General features: G+C 38.7%; 1 protein-coding gene across 16 annotated transcripts in view; it reads left to right on the top strand.

The window, feature by feature from the left end:
* Positions 1–16,660, top strand: part of UGGT2 (UDP-glucose glycoprotein glucosyltransferase 2) — a 251,822-nt gene that overhangs the window by 108,037 nt on the left and 127,125 nt on the right. For 13 of the 16 annotated variants that reach the window (XR_931617.2, XM_047430471.1, NM_020121.4 and 10 more), the window contains 2 exons: positions 5,274–5,408; positions 8,277–8,441. Coding sequence is in view for 14 of the 16 variants with exons in the window: in XM_047430471.1 (XP_047286427.1) it covers positions 5,274–5,408; positions 8,277–8,441 (300 nt within the window). In the remaining 2 variants the exon portion in view is untranslated. Of the gene's footprint in view, positions 1–1,641; positions 1,699–5,273; positions 5,409–8,276; positions 8,446–16,660 lie in introns of those variants that run through there. The other 3 variants (XM_047430475.1, XM_011521102.3, XM_011521103.3) reach the window with 2 other exon arrangements.

Raw genomic sequence — 16,660 nt, 5'->3', positions numbered from 1 at the left:
GAAATAATTTGAACAAGGCATAGTTTTTAGGAAAATACATGAATTATAAAATCTTTTAAAAGTGTTTGCCTGTTTTCAGTGAGCTAATTACCTTATCTCAATTAAGTAATTTGAAGCTATTTAGCACTATAAAGAGAGAAGAATATAAGACCAAAATAATAATAAAATATATGGAAGTTATTGAAATGTGATAACAAATAGCAAATATTAAAGTTAATCCAACCATATCTGTGACCATATTAAGTGTGAGGAAATTAAACTTTAGCATACTAGCAGAAAAGATATAAAAAGACAGAAAGTTATACACAAGGTGACTATCACAAATGAAATCTAAGGTAGCCATAAAATATTAGGGGAAATAAACTTTAAGAAAAAGTACTAAAGTTGTATGTAGCTTCAAAATATACAATACAAAATTTGATAGCAAGGGAGATAAATGGACAGTTTCACTATAATAGTAGTAGGTTATTTCAACATTTTTTAATAGGTGAAGCAGATTAAAAATCAGTAAAAATATATAAGATTTTAACAATACACTTAAGATTAATTTTAAAGGCAAATATAATATCCAACAATCAGAGAATGAGATGATTTTGCATTCAAAACAGAAGAGGAAAATATGTCTTTTAGTTAGAAAAGGAGTTAAAAGAACTAGTTAACCATTCAGAAATGAGTAACTGATTTTTAAAAAGTAGATGGAAAGTAATAAGAATATACATTAATGAACTAGGAAATAATACAATTATGGGATCAAGAATATAAAAGTTGATATTCTGAAAAAACAAATAAAATTGACAAACTATCATAGAGGTTAGGTTCCAGATGAGCACACCAGGTATAAACTTCCAGACTCTTAAGGCCTGGGCTCAGAGATGGGTACATCATTACTTTCAGTTTATTCCGTTGTATTCTGTTTATCAAAGAGTCACAGATTCAGATTCATATACCCACTTCTCAATGGAAGGAGTGTTGAAGAATTTGGAGACCATGTTTTAAAACTAGCACAGCAAATTCTACCAAATATTCAAATGTTTGAAGAAATAATAATTTCAGTCTTTAAAATATCTTTTAGAGAATAGAAAAAGAGGAAATATTACCTAAATTAGTCTATGAATCTAATATAATCTGATGTCAAAGCCTGACAAGAAGAGAAAAGGAAAAATTATAGGCTGTTCTTTGTTGAGAATATGTATGCCAAAGTCCTAAATAAAATATTAACAAAAGAAATCCAGCAGGTATATAAAAAGTAAATTATCATGACAAGGTGAGATTATCTAATGAATAAAAGAAAGTATTTGCAAATTCAAAGAATCTCTAAATATAATTCACCATGTTAATATATTATTCAAGAATATGCACAAGAAACATTTGAAAAAATTCAAAGCTTTTTTATGATTAAAAAACTCATAAAGAAACAAAATGTTTAGCGAACTATTATGTAAGGGAATTTTGTTAATTGATGACAGCACATCTTAGCAGTAAAATGATAGAAAGCATTGTTTTTAAAAATGGAAAAAGATAAGGTACCCACTGTCAACACTTCAAGTATAATCCTCAAGTTCCAGTCAATGCAATAAGATAAGTAAAGGAAATACTCATTTAAAATATTTAAAAGAAACAAATTTTTATTTAAAATTCCAGACTTGCCTACAGAGGAGACTCAAAAGAATCCATTGATTGTGAGATTTGACACAGGAGGTTAGTAAAGTAACTGGATATGAGATCAGTATACTAATATCAGTTGCTTTTCTCTCTTCTAACAACAAATATTTATTAATTATTTTCATCAGTTTTATTAAATGCCTACTACATACCACACCCTGTTTTAGGTGCTTGGATAAATTAATAACATATATAGCCAACAATCCTTATCCTCATGAGAGTACTTTCTGTAATGACTCCTACATTTACAATGACAAGAGCAAGCAAATAAAAGATACTTAGGAAACCTGGGGGCTGGGGGGAAGGTCAGTTTTGTGGAGAAAATTTGGAATTATAGCCATGAAAGTTTACCTAAATGAATGAAAAGCTCTACCATGTTTATCAATAGAAATATTTCACTTCATAATTATATTGTTTTCTGCAAGTGATTTCTAAATTCATTGCATTTCCGACCAAAGTGGAATTTTGGGGATTTTTGTGAAATGTGATGTTTTATTTTAAAATTTATATGGAAGAATGAAGACTCAAAATGGGTGAGACTTTGAAGGATAAAGTGATGGGACTTGTCATACCAGGTAATAAGATGTATAAAGTTTGTGGTATTGGTTCAGGGAAAGACATATCTATCAAAAGAACGTGGGGGTCCCAAAACTTAAGAATACAGAAGTGACATTACAGTAAATGGGAGTGGACTTACAACAACTGTGGTTCAACAGTGGCTATACCAATGCAAGTAAATAAGACTTTACACCTTGTGTAAAAATCATTTGAGTTAGCTTAAAAATGTAAGTGTGGAAAACAAAACTTTAAAACATTTAGAAGTTAGGACCTCAAGGTAAGGGTTTCCTAGATAAAACTTAAAAAGCTCTAAGTCTGCAGGAAAATACTGATAATTTCAGCTAAATTACAAATGAAAACCAGTGCCCATTAAAATATGTCATTAAAAAATAGGGAAAAATGTTATAAGCAGGAGAAGTATTTACAATACATATGGCCAATAAAATATTTATATTCCATGAGATGTAAACATTTTCTACAATTCAAAAAGAAAAATACCAATGACCCAAGAGGAGAAATGCATAAAATAACTTTTAAAATAGAAGATGCATTAATGGTAAATAAAAATATACTGAAATTATTGGTGGTAAATATTTATTACCATTAATGGTAACTAAACAAGATAATTATCTTACAAATTTGAAAAATGCAAATAAAGACTACGACCACAAGATTATTTTATACCCTGTAATTTGGCAGGAATTAAGAAAGCTGAAGGTATCATTTGTTAATGAGAATGTAGAGCAATGGAATGCCTTTACATTTACATTGCTACCCTGCCTGTAGGAATCTAAACTGGCAGAGCCACACTGAAAAACAATCTGATAATAATTCACTATTTGAAGTTAAATTTCCACATTTCCTACAGACAACACACACACACACACACACACACACACACACACACACACACACACACACACCCTCACCCTAAGAGAAGCTCTTGTACCTGCACCTTAGGAGGCTATTGTTAGCAGAATCATTCAGAATAGCAACAAACTATGATAAAAATGACACAAATATACATATCAGTAGCAAAATAGATAAGTAGAATTTGGCATATTAGAATGAAATATCATATGCAAGAGCATAGATGTATTAGAAACATAATGAAGTCATAGAAGACTAACACCATACCATATACTTCTTAAAGCTCAGAAGCAAACAAAACTAAGTATGGGAATACGTATTCGCATAAAACTCTAGAATTCAAAAAGGAAAGGGAATGATAAATGCAAATTCAAAACAATGCTTGCATCTCCTGAAGCACAAGGAAATGGGATTGGGAGAGAAGTTGTACTTCATGGCATTGGTGATGTTCCATTTCTTATGTTACGTGGTTTATTCATAAGAATTGTTTATTTTGTTATTTATGCCTCATAATGTGTATGTTATGTGTATTCCTCTTTGCTTACCAAGTTACAAAATAATTTTTAAAATTTAAAAATGTGTAAGAGGATTGAGTTGATATGTCTGAGTAACTTATGTGAGGCATTCTGACTACCTTATTTTATGAGTATCTAATATTTTCAGGTGACTAGTTAGTAAAATGACTAATCTGAATGACTTTTCCTTTATCTTTTGCTTTATTCAGAGTCTCATTTTTGTGATCTCCATTTATGTTTTACAAAAGATGGAACTTTTCACTTTTTTTGAGTTATGATCACATTATGTTCTACTTTGATAGGAGGAGAAAAGTTGCCCCTAAATTGAAAAACTCGTAAAATGAAACTCTTCAGTCTAATTACATACCTGTGCTGCTGCTTAAAGGAATAGGGTACAAAGTTTACAGTGATAAAGGGAGAGCAAAGAATACTAATTTCTTACTGTGAGGAATATAACATGGGGATCATTTTAGCCACAATATGAAGATTATGTTTGGCAATAATGACATAAGTAAATTGGGACCAAAAGCAATATTCTTCAGTGATATATCAAATGCTGCTTAATAGTGTTTGTACTTACTACTTGTTCCTTCTGCTTATAAGTTTCTTTCCCCAGAATGTCTTAATGCTAGCTGAGTGTTCATACTTATGTCTCAGCTTAGTCGTCTACTCAAGAGATGCCATCTCTCTTGGTGCAAAACCTAAAACAGCACCTGGGTCATAGAGGATCTCTAAGTACTTATTAAAGAAAGAAATGAGAAAAGATAAAAAGAATAACAGCTTACATTCTACAAGTGTGTTTAGAATATTTGAGACTGGGGAAGAGTAGAGGTGCAGAGAAAGTTTAGTCAAAATACTTACTAGTAAGGCCTGGCATGGTGGCTTATGCCTGTAGTCTCAACTATTTGGGAGGCCGAGGCAGGTAGATTGCTTGAGCCCAGGTGTTTGAGACCAGCCTGAGCAACATGGCAAGACCCTGTCTTTACAAAAAATACAAAAAAATTTATCCAGATGTGGTGGCAAGTTCCTGTAAGCCAAGCCCTTCGGGAGGCCGCAGGAGGTGGATTGCTTGAGCCCAGGAATTCGATACCAGCCTAAGCAACATGGCAAGACCCCATCTTTACAAAAAATACCAAAAAATCTAGCCAGGTGTGGTGGCAAGTTCCTGTAGTCCCAGCTACCCAGGGGGCTAGGTGGGAGGATTGCTTGAGCTGGGAGGTTGAAGCTGCAGTGAGCCATGATCACACCACTGCATTCCAGCCTAGTCAATGGTAAGACCCTGTCTCAAAAAAAAAAAAAAAAAAGAAAAAGAAAAAAATTACAGAAAAGCAATAAAAAATGAAAGCATTTCTGAAATGTCATATTAGAATATATTATACATACATTAAAAAAGGTAATCATTATTTTATTAAGAATAATGGTGTCTGGTTTCATCAAAATAGAGTAAAACATAAATTTGTTATGATATTTTTGAAAACTATAGAATATTTTAAAACCATCTTTATTAAAAGATGATATATGGTTAAAATTATTTTTATGTGGTATGTGTGTATGTGTAGTTAGTATATTTTGAACTTACAAAATAAAAATCTATCTGCATGCTAAGGAAAAAAAAGAAAACTAATTGCTATAAGAAGAAAATTAATTATAATATCTAAATTTTCACAGATGTACCAAAAAGTGAAGAAGGATCAAAATATACTCACTGTGGACAATGTGAAGAGTGTTCTCCAAAATACATTTCCTCATGCTAATATTTGGGATATTTTGGGAATTCATTCTAAATATGATGAAGAAAGAAAGGTAAGTTGGGACATTATGTTAAGTGGAGTAGGCCAGGCACAGAAAGACAAACACCACATGATCTCTACTCATGTAGAATCTTTAAAAAAAGTCAGACTCACAGAAACAGAGTAAAATGGGGGTTACCAGAGGCTGGGGATGGCAGAATTGGGGAGATATTGGTCAAAGGATACAAAATTTCAGTTAGACTAGAGAAATAAGTTCAAGAGATCTATTGTACATGGTGGTGACTGTAGTTAATGACATATTTTATACTTGAAATTACTAAGTACATTTTAAGGATTCTCACCACAAAATATGAGAAGTATATGAGGTAATGCATATGATAATTAGCTTTATTAGCTATTCCACAATGTATATTAATATCAAAATGTCATATATCATAAACATATATATTTTTTACTTGTCATTTTTTAAAAGGTGAACAATTAGAGACTCAACCCAGAAGATTCGGAAAGAGCCAAAAAAAAAAAAAAAAAAGGCAACAACTCAAAGAAATTTTCAGAGAAAGAGAAATAGTACAAAGAAATTCCAAAAATTAATGTATAGGAGCCTTCATTAGAAGGGACTCACCAAATACGCAACACATTGAATGAAAGAGGAATGCTCTGGGGTATGGGGATAAGGAATACTTTTCTGAAGAAGTGATATTTAAGCAGAATCCTGAAGCAGGAGGAAAAGTTAGACAAAAGAAAACAAGGGGGTTGTAAGAGATTAACATTCCAGTCAGAAAAATATTGTGTTCTGAGATGTAAAGGAATTGAGAGAAGCTGATGTTGCTACTGTGTAGATTGAAAGCATATGTTGTTCCTGTGTTATAGGGTACAGTCGAGGAGATAAGGCTGGAGAGGCAAGCAAGGGGTCTGAATATACAGGGTCTTGTGAACAACATTTAATGCACTCATGTCAGTAGAAGCTCTTGGCAACAGTGAAAAACCTGAAAGGCATTAAGTAGTGAAGTGACAGTGACATGCATTTTTTTTCTAAAGAGCATTCTCCATTGTTGAGAATGGATTGTTGGTGGGGAGGAGTAGGTGTGGTGATATGTATTAGGAAACATAAGGTGAGAGATGTGAGATGGACTAGTAGGCTTTTGGAAGAAGTGGAGGCAGAGAAAATGGACATATTTGAATTATTTAGGAAGTACCATCCAGGTGCTGCTGGATTGGATAAGGTAGAGGGGAGATGAGAAATTGTCAAGGGTAACTCCCAGGGTTCAGCTGAACAACTAACTGGTAGTGTTGATGCCATTGCCAAGAAGGAAAGGAGTGGAGGAGTTTATCCTTGTTAAACTATAAGCTTTAGGAGAGAGTTTGCATATCATTTACATGCATTCATAAACCTAAGACATAGTAGGTGCCCACTAAACGTACAGATAGTATAGTACAGTGGTTAAGAGTTCAGACTCTTGGTCAGACAGATCTGGGTGCAAATTCCATTTCCAAAACATTGTAGCTGTGTAACATAAGAAGTGATTTAATCTCTCTGTATCTGTTTTATCATCTGTAAAATTGATGTAATAGTAGTACTTGGCTTCCTAGAGTATTTGTGAGAATGTTGGCTATAATAATGATAATACTTAGTATTGGATAGCAAATGAGTTATTTAGTCACTTTTTAACTCATAAGCTAAAATTCAAATGTTGAGGACCTTCATGATCTGGCCTCTGCCTACACCCCTCTCTAACTCCGTATCTGACAGCTGTCCCCCATATTTCACACCCTGTAAACACTGCTGTATTAGTCCATTTTCACGCTGCTGATAAAGACATACCTGAGACTGGGCAATTTAGAAAAGAAAGTGGTTTAATGGACTTACAGTTCCACGTGGCTGGGGAAACCTCACAATCATGGCAGAAGGTGAAAGGCATGTCTCACATGATGGCAGACAAGAGAAGAGAACTTGTGCAGGGAAATTCCCCCTTATAAAACCAGCAGATCTCATGAGACATATTCACTGTCACGAGAATAGCATGGGAAAGATCTGCCCTCATGATTTCATTACCTCCCACTGGGTCCCCCCACAACATGTGGGAAATGTGGGAGCTAAAATTTAAGATAAGAATTGGGTGGGGACACAGCCAAACCATATCAACTGTGAATTTACCATTGCATAAGTATACCACACTCTTACTTCCCTTGCTATATTCTCCTCACTTGGACTGTCTTTCTCTATTTTATCTCTCTGGCAAATTTTTATTAAGCCTTTAAGATTTTTAGTATGACTCCCTAAAAGAAGACCTGTATGATCCCTTCCTCTCCATACTCCAGCTTGATTAGGTGCTTCTCCTGGGCCCCATAGAGTCTTCTACATGCCTGTGTTTTGTCTGTCTGTATGTGAACCCCTTGAGAAAAGACTTTCAGCTCTATAATCACAGTATCTAGCCTAATGCAGGTGGCAGGATTGAATAAGTGTTTATTGAACATATAAATACAGGGATAAATAAGTCTCTGATGCCGATAAATGTTTGGATGTTTATTAAGTTAATGTCATACTCTATACCAAGAATCAGCAAGTCCACCCACTGCTTGTTTTTGTAAATATTTTGGGGACACAGCCATACTTGTTTATTCATATGTCGTCTATGACTGCTTTTGTGCTGTAACGAGAGTGGAGTCACTATGTCAGAAACTGAGTGGCTCACAAAGCCTAAAATATTTACTCTCTGGCCCTTTACATAAAAAGTTTTTTGACTCCTTGTAGGTAAATTACTTTCCTTTAGGCAATGTTTGGAAAGGACAGATAAAGTTAGCAAAATGGATGTTTTTTCCTATGGCATATAAAAATGTGGCGGTGTTCCATTTTCTTATGTTTATTATTCAAACAATCATATTTTGTTTAACACTCTGATATTTTTTAACTGAATAGGCTGGAGCAAGCTTTTATAAGATGACTGGCCTGGGTCCTTTGCCTCAAGCTCTTTATAATGGTGAACCCTTTAAACATGAAGAGATGAATATTAAAGAACTAAAAATGGCTGTTCTTCAAAGAATGATGGATGCATCTGTATATTTACAAAGAGAAGTTTTTTTGGTAGGTAAGCATTTATAAGAAAATACATGATGAATATTTATAAATGATGTTTTTATTAAAAACTTATTTTAATGACAGAAGTTGATTTGGTAAAAAATTTCCATTCTGATCATTTCATAGTGATTTTTAAAATGATACTTTTAGCAGCTTAAGCCACGCCACCCTGCCTGTGCAGAGACTGTGGTGCAGTGGGGCCCTTTATACTCCATGCCCAGGCAGATCTTCAGGAATCTGGAACACCCACTGTCCTCGATTAGGAGTTTAGGCTACCCCGCTCCCTCTGCAGAGAACTTGGAGCCAAGGAGGTTTCCCAGCTCCATGCCTAGGCACACCTCTAGACACCTGGTGGTTGCCCACTGTATTCTCCCTCAGTGTTGGTGCTTGTGCCTGCCGTTGGGGTACCTGTAGGCAGGCCTGCTCAGCCTGGCCCTGCCCATCTTGCCCACCATGTCTGAGCAGGGAGGCCAGACCACTGTGCACACCACAGATCAGCCCATTGCCTGAGACAACAGAGAGATTATCCCAGTAACAAGGATCAAGTATATACCCTGCCATGTTGGCCTCAGCTGGCTTTTACTCATAAGGGCTATCTACTAGCTTGTAGGTCAAACCACACAGCCCAAAGTAAAATCAGCTGATAGAAATGCATAGGCTATAGAAGCATCACTTAAGGAATTTCAAAATATAATTGAAAGCTTTATCAATAGACTGGACCAAGCAGGAGAAAGAATTTCAGAGCTTGAAAACCAGTCTTTTGACCTAACCCAGTCAGACAAAAATAACAAAAAAGAATTTAGGTCAGGCATGGTGGTTTATACCTGTAATCCCACCTCTTTGGGAGGTCAATTCAAGAGGATCACTTGAGCTGATGAGTTTGAGACCAGCCTGGGCAACACAGTGAGACCTCTGCTCTACAAAAAAACTTAAAACTTAGCCAGGTGTGGTGATGAGTGCCTCTAGTCCCAGCTGCTCGAAAGGCTGAGGCAAGAGGATCACTTGAGCCTAGGAGATGGAGGCTGCAGTAAGTCATGATCATGCCACTGCACTCTAGCCTGGATGACAGAGCGAGACCCTGTCTGAAAAGAAGAATTTTTAAAAATGAACAAAGTGTTCAAGAAATACGGGATTATGTTAAAGGAACCAAACCTACAAATTATTGGCATTCCTGAGAGAAAAGGAGAAAAAGTAAACAACCAGGAAAACATATTTGAGGGAATAATTCAAGAAAATTTCCCTCATCTTGCTAGTGAAGTAGACGTTCAGTTACAAGAAATTCAGAGAACACTGTGAGATACTATACAAGGTCAGCATCACCAAGGCTTATAGTCACCAAACTGTCCAAGGTCAGTGCTGAAGTAAAAATCTTAAAGGCAACTAGAGAAAAAAGGCAGATCACATACGAAGGGAACCCCATCAAACTAACAACAGTGGTCTATTTTCAGCATTCCTAAAGAAAAGAAATTCCAACCAAGAATTTTGTGTCCTGTCAAACTAAGCTTCATAAGTGAATGAGAAGTAAAATCTTTCCCAGACAAGCAAGCACTAAAGGAATTCATTAGCACTAAACGGGCCTTACAAGAGCTCTTTAAGGGAATGGAAGAATGGTACAAAAACACACTTAAGTACATAGCCCACAGACCCTATAAAGCATCCACATCATAGAAACTGAAAAGCAGACAGCTAAGAACTTCACATAGGATCAAAACCTCGTGTACCAATATTAACCTTGAATATAAATGGCCTAAGTGCCTCACTTAAAAGGCACAGAGTGGCAATTGGATAAAAAACAAGACCCATCTGTCTGCTGTCTACAGGAGACGGGCTCAAAGTAAAGGGTTTGAGAATTATCATGCAAACAAAACAAAACAAAACCAGGAGTTGCTATTCTTAGATAAAACAAACTTGAAACCAACAATAGATAATTATAAAGTGTTCAACAAGAAGACTTAAGTGTCCCAAATATATATGCACCAACACTGGAGCACCCAGATTCGTAAAACAAATACTTCCACACCTATGAAAAATCTTAAGGCAGCTGCGCAATAATAGTGGGAGACTTCAACTCACCCACTGTTATTGAACTAACCCAGTCAGACAAAAATAAAAAAGAATTTAGGCCAGAAATGGTGGTTCATGCCTGTAATCCCACCACTTTGGAAGGTCAATCCAAGAGGATCGCTTGAGCTGAGGAGTTTGAGACCAGCCTGGGCAACACAGTGAAACCTCTCCACAAAAAACTTAAAACTTAGCCAGGCGTCATGGTGGGTGCCTGTAGTCCCAGCTACTCAAAAGGCTGAGGAAGGAGGAAGACAGCAGACAGATGAGTCTTGTTTTTTATCCAACTTGCCACTCTGTGCTTTTTAAGTGAGGCGTGTAGGCCATTTATATTCAAGGTTAATATTGGTACATGAGGTTTTGAGCCTGTCATGAAGTTCTTAGCTGGCTCCTTGCCATTTCTATCGTGTGTTAGACACTGACAGTGTTAGACAGATTATCGAGGCAGAAAACTAACAAATTCTGGACTTAAATGGACACTGATCAGTTAGACCTAATAGACATCTACAGAACATTCCACCCATCAGCCACAGAATATTTATTCTTTTCAGCTGCACACAGAGCATACTCCAAGATCAAGCACATGCTTGGCCATAAAGTAAGTCTCAATAAATTTTTTAAAGTCAGAATCATACCAGTCATACTCATGGACCACAGTAGAATAAAAATAGAAATCAGAACTCAGAACATCTCTCAAAACTACATAATTACATGGAAATTAAATAACTTGCTTTTGAAATCACTTTTGGGTAAACTGAAATTAAGGCAGCAATAATAAAAATTCAAATAAATGAAAACAAACAACATACGAAGATCTCTGGCATGCAGCAAAAGCAGTTTTCAGAGTTATAGTGCTAACCACCTATCTCAAAAATTTAGAACTATCACCAGGCGCGGTGGCTCACGCCTGTAATCCCAGCACTTTGGGAGGCCGAGGTGGGCAGATCACGAGGTCAGGAGATCGAGACCATCCTGGCTAACACAGTGAAACCCCATCTCTACTAAAAGTACAAAAAAAAATTAGCTGGGCCTGGTGGCTGGTGCCTGTAGTCCCAGCTACTCTGGGGGCTGAGGCAGGAGAATGGCATGAACCCGGGAGGCGGAGCTTGCAGTGAGCCGAGATACAGCCACTGCACTCCAGCCTAGGTGACAGAGCAAGACTTCGTCTCAAAACAAAAAACAAAAACAAAAAAATTTAGAACTATCTCAAAATAATGACTTAACATCACACCAAGAGGAATTAGGAAAAACAAGAATGAACTAACCTCAAAGCTAGCAGAAGAAAAGAAATAACTAAAATCAGAGCAGAATTGTACAAAATTGAGACCCAAAAATTTATACAATGAATCAGTGAAACCAAAAGTTAGCTCTTGGAAAGGACAAGATCGATAGACCACTAGCTAGATTAACAGAAAAAGGAGAAACGATCTAAATAAGCACAATCAGAAGCAACAAAGGTGACATTACAACTGATCCCATAGAAATACAGAAGATCCTCAGAAGACCTCTATGCATACAAACTGGAAAATCTAGAGGATATGGATAAATTCCTGGTCTCCCAAGATTGAATCAGGAAGAAATTGACACCCTGAGCAGACTGATACTGAGTTCCATAATTGAATCAGTAATAAAAAACCTACCAACCAGTAAAAGCCCTGGACCAGATGGATTCATAACTGAATTCTGCCAGATGTATAAAGAAGAACTGTTACCAATCCTACTGAAACTATTCCAAAAAACCAAGGAGGAGTGATTAATGCCTCCCTAACTCATTCTGCAAAACCTGTGTTATCCTGATACCAAAACCTGGCAAACATGCAATGAAAAAACTACAGGCTAGTACCATTGATGAACATAGATGGAAAAATCCTCAACAAAATACTAGCAAACTGAATCCAGCAGCATATCAAAAAATTAATTCACCGTAATCAAATAGGCTTCACTCCTGAGAAAGGTTGGTTCAACATTAACAAATCAGTAAATGTCATTCACCACATACACAGAATTTAAAACAAAAAATGTGATCATTTTGATAGATGCTGAAAAATTATTCAATAAAATCAAACATCCCTTCATGATAAAAACCCTCAACAAACTGCATTGAAGGAACATACCTCAAAATAATAAACGCCATCTATGACAAACCCACAACCAACATCATACTGAACAGTGAAAAGCTGGAAACATTCCCCTTGAGGACTGGAACAGGAAAAGGATGCCCAGTCTCACTATTCCTATTCATCATAGTACTGGAAGTCTTAGAGCAATCAGGCAAGAGCAATAAATAAAAGGCATCCAAATAGTAAAAGAAGTCCAGTATCTCTCTTCACTGATGATATGATTCTACACCTAGAAAACCCTAAAGACTCCACCGGACAACTCCTAGAACTGATAAATTACTTAAGTAAAGTTTCAGGATTCAAAATTAATGCACAGCAATCAGTAGCATTTCTATAGACCAATAACATTCAAGCTGAGAGCCAAATCAAGAATGCAGTCCCATTTACAATAGCCATACACACACACACACACACACACACACACACACACACACACAAATAAAATACCTAGGAATACAGCTAACTAAGGAGATGAAAGATCTCTACAAGGATAATTACTAAACACTGCTGAAAGTGATCATATATTATGCAAACAAATGGGTAAACATTCCATGCTCACGGATTGGAAGACTAAATATTGTTAACATGGCCATACTGCCCAACACAATCTACAGATTTAATGCTATTCATATCAAACTGCCAATGTCATTATTCACAGAATTGGAAAATACTATTCTAAAATTAATATGGAACCAGAAAAGAGCCCAAATAGCCAAGGCAATTCCAAGAAAAAGAACAAATCTGAAGGCATCATATTGAGAGGTGACAATGTGCTGGTGGCCCTTGCTCACTCTCAGCACCTCCTTGCCCTCGGCGTCCGCTCTGGCCATGCTCGAGGAGCCCTTCAGCCTGCCACTGCACTGTGGGGGCCCCTCTCTGGGCTGTCCGAGGCCGGAGCCGGCTCCCTCTGCTTGCGGGGAGGTGTGGAGGGAGAGGCGCGGGCGGGAACCAGGGCTCCGCGCCACGTTCATGGGCCAGCGCGAGTTCCGGGTGGGCGTGGGCTCAGCAGGCCCTGCACTCAGGCCGGCGGGCGCTGCCGGCCCGGGCAGTGAGGGGCGTAGCACCCGGGCCAGCAGCTACAGAGGGTGCGCTGGGCCAGCACTGTGCTCGAATTCTCGCTGCCTCATCTGCCTCCCCCTGGGTCAGGGCTTGGGACCCGCAGCCCGCCATGCCTGAGCCTCCCCCCCACCCCCACCCCACCCCACCCTGCCCCGGCACCGTGGGGTCTTGCGCAGCCCGAGCCTCCCCGACGAGTGCTGCCCCCTGCTCCGCGGCGCCCAGTCCCATTGACCGCTCAAGGGCTGAGGAGTGCCGGTGCAAGGTGCGGGAGTGGCGGGCAGCTCCCCCTGCGGCCCAGGTGTGGGATCCACTAGGTGAAGCCCCTGGGCTCCAGAGTCTAGTGGGGACTTGGAGAACCTTTATGTGTAGCTGAGGGATTGTGAATACACCAATCAGCACTCTGTGTCTAGCTCAAGATTTGTAAACACACCAATCAGTACCCTGTGTCTAGCTGGAGGTTTGTAAATGCACCAATCAGTGCTGTGTCTAGCTCATCTAGTGGGGACTTGGAGAACTTTTGTGGCTAGCTCAGGGATTGTAAACACACCAATCAGCACCCTGTCAAAACGGACCAATCAGCTCTCTGTAAAACAGACCAATCAGCTCTCTGTAGAATGGACCAATCAGCAAGATGTGGGTGGGGCCAGATAAGGGAATAAAAGCAGGCTGCCCAAGCCAGCCGTGGCAACCCGCTTGGGTCCCTTTCCATGCTGTGGGAGGTTTGTTCTTTTGCTCTTTGCAGTAAATCTTTCTGCTGCTCAGTCTTTGGGTCCGTGCTGCCTTTGAGAGCTGTAACACTCACCATAAAAGTCTGCACCTTCACTCCTGAAGCCAGCGAGACCACCAACCCACCAGAAGGAGAAAACCCCGAACACATCTGAACATCAGAAGGAACAAACTCTGGACACTCCATCTTTAAGAACTGTAACACTCACCGCGAGGGTCCACAGCTTTATTCTTGAAGTCAGTGTGATCAAGAACCCACCAATTCCGGACACAGTATTACCCAACTTCACAGTACACTATGAGGCTACAGTAACCAGAGCAGCATGGTACTGGTACAAAAATAGACACATAGACTAATGGAACAGAGTAGAGAACCCAGAAATAAAGCCACACACCTACAAACATTTTAGCTTTGAAAAGTTGATGAAAATTAGTGGGAAAAGGGTCCTCGATTCAATAAATGGTCCTAGGATAGTTGGCTAGCCATATGCAAACAAAACTGGACCCCTACTTTTCACCACGTTCAAAACTTAACAAGATGGATTAAACAGTTAAGTATAAGACTTAAAACTATAAGAATTCTAGAAGAAAACCTAGGAAACACCGTTCTGGACATCAGTCTTGGGAAAGAATTTATGGCTAAGATCTCAAAAGCAATTGCATCAAAAACAAAAATTTGACGAGTGGGACCTAATTAATTAAAGAGTACAACAAAAGAAACTCGCAACAGAGTAAACAGACAGCCTACAGAATATACAGAAAATATTCACAAACTGTATATCCGACAAAATTCTAATATCCATAAGTAGCAAATAAATCAAGCAAAGAATAAATAACCCCATTAAAAAGTAGGCAAATGACATTAACAGGTACTTCTCAAAAGAAGACACGCAGGCGGCCAACAAGCATATAAAGAAATGTTCAACACTACTAATCCTTAGAGAAGTGCAAATCAAAACCAAAAGGAGACACCATCTCGTACCATTTAGAATGGCTGTTATTAAGTGAACAAACAACAGATGCTGGTGAGGCTGAGGAGGAAGGGGAACGCATATACACTGTTAGTGGGGATGTAAATTAGTTCAGCCCCTTTGGAAAGCAGTTTGTAGATGTTTCAAAGAACTTAAAACAGAACTACCATTCAACCCAGCAATCCCATTACTGGGTACATCTCCAGAGGAAAATAAATCGTTCTACCAAAAAGACACATGTATGTTCACTGCAGCACTATTCATAATAGCAAAGATGTAGAATCAGCCTAGGTGTCCATCAGTGGTGGATTGGTTAAAGAAAATGTGGTGCATATATACACCATGGAATACTACGCACCCATTAAAAATGAAATCGTCCCCTTTGGAGCAACATGGACTCAGCTGGAGGCCAAGCAAACTAACACAGAAACAGGAAACCAAACACTGCATGTTCTCTCTTATGAGTGGGAGCTAAACATTTGGTACTCATAGACATAAAGATGGCAGCAAGAGACACTGGGGATTTCTAGAGGGGAGAGGGAAGGAAAAAGTCAGGGAAGGGTTGGAAAACTATCTGGTACTATGCTAACTACCTGGGTAATGGGATCAGTCATAACCCCAACTTCAGCATTACATGATACACCTGTGTTGTAACCAATCTGCATGTGTACCCTCGAATCTAAAATAAAAGCTGAAATTCTTTAAAAATATATTTAATTAAATTTATCTTAGGCATAATTGCATCTAAAATTGCTTAATTGGAAAAAGTTGTAATTTTTACAAGGAAATGTATTCTCCCTCCCCCTCTCCCTCATCTCCCTCTGATGCCAAGCCGAGGCTGGACTGTACTGCCTCCATCTTGGCTCACTGCAACCTCCCTGCCTGATTCTCCTGCCTCAGCCTGCCTAGTGCCTGGGATTGCAGGCGCGCGCCGCCACGCCTGACTGGTTTTCGTATTTTTTGGTGGAGACGGGGTTTCGCTGTGTTGGCCGGGCTGGTCTCCAGCTCCTGACCTCGAGTGATCTGCCAGCCCCGGCCTCCCGAGGTGCCGGGATTGCAGATGGAGTCTCGCTCACTTAGTGCTCAATGTTGCCCAGGCTGGAGTGCAGTGGCATGATCTCGGCTCACTACAACCTCCACCTCCCAGCCGCCTGCCTTGCCCTCCCAAAGTGCCGAGATTGCAGCCTCTGCCCGGCCGCCACCCCGTCTAGGAAGTGAGGAGCATCTCTGCCTGGCCGCACATCATCTGGGATGTGAGGAGCCCCTCTGCCCAGCCGCCCAGTCTGGG

This window comes from Homo sapiens, chromosome 13 (genome assembly GCF_000001405.40).
Source record: "Homo sapiens chromosome 13, GRCh38.p14 Primary Assembly".
NCBI classification, from domain to species: domain Eukaryota; kingdom Metazoa; phylum Chordata; class Mammalia; order Primates; family Hominidae; genus Homo; species Homo sapiens.
Note: the sequence above shows the minus strand (reverse complement) of the source record. Positions and strands in the feature narration are given on the sequence as shown.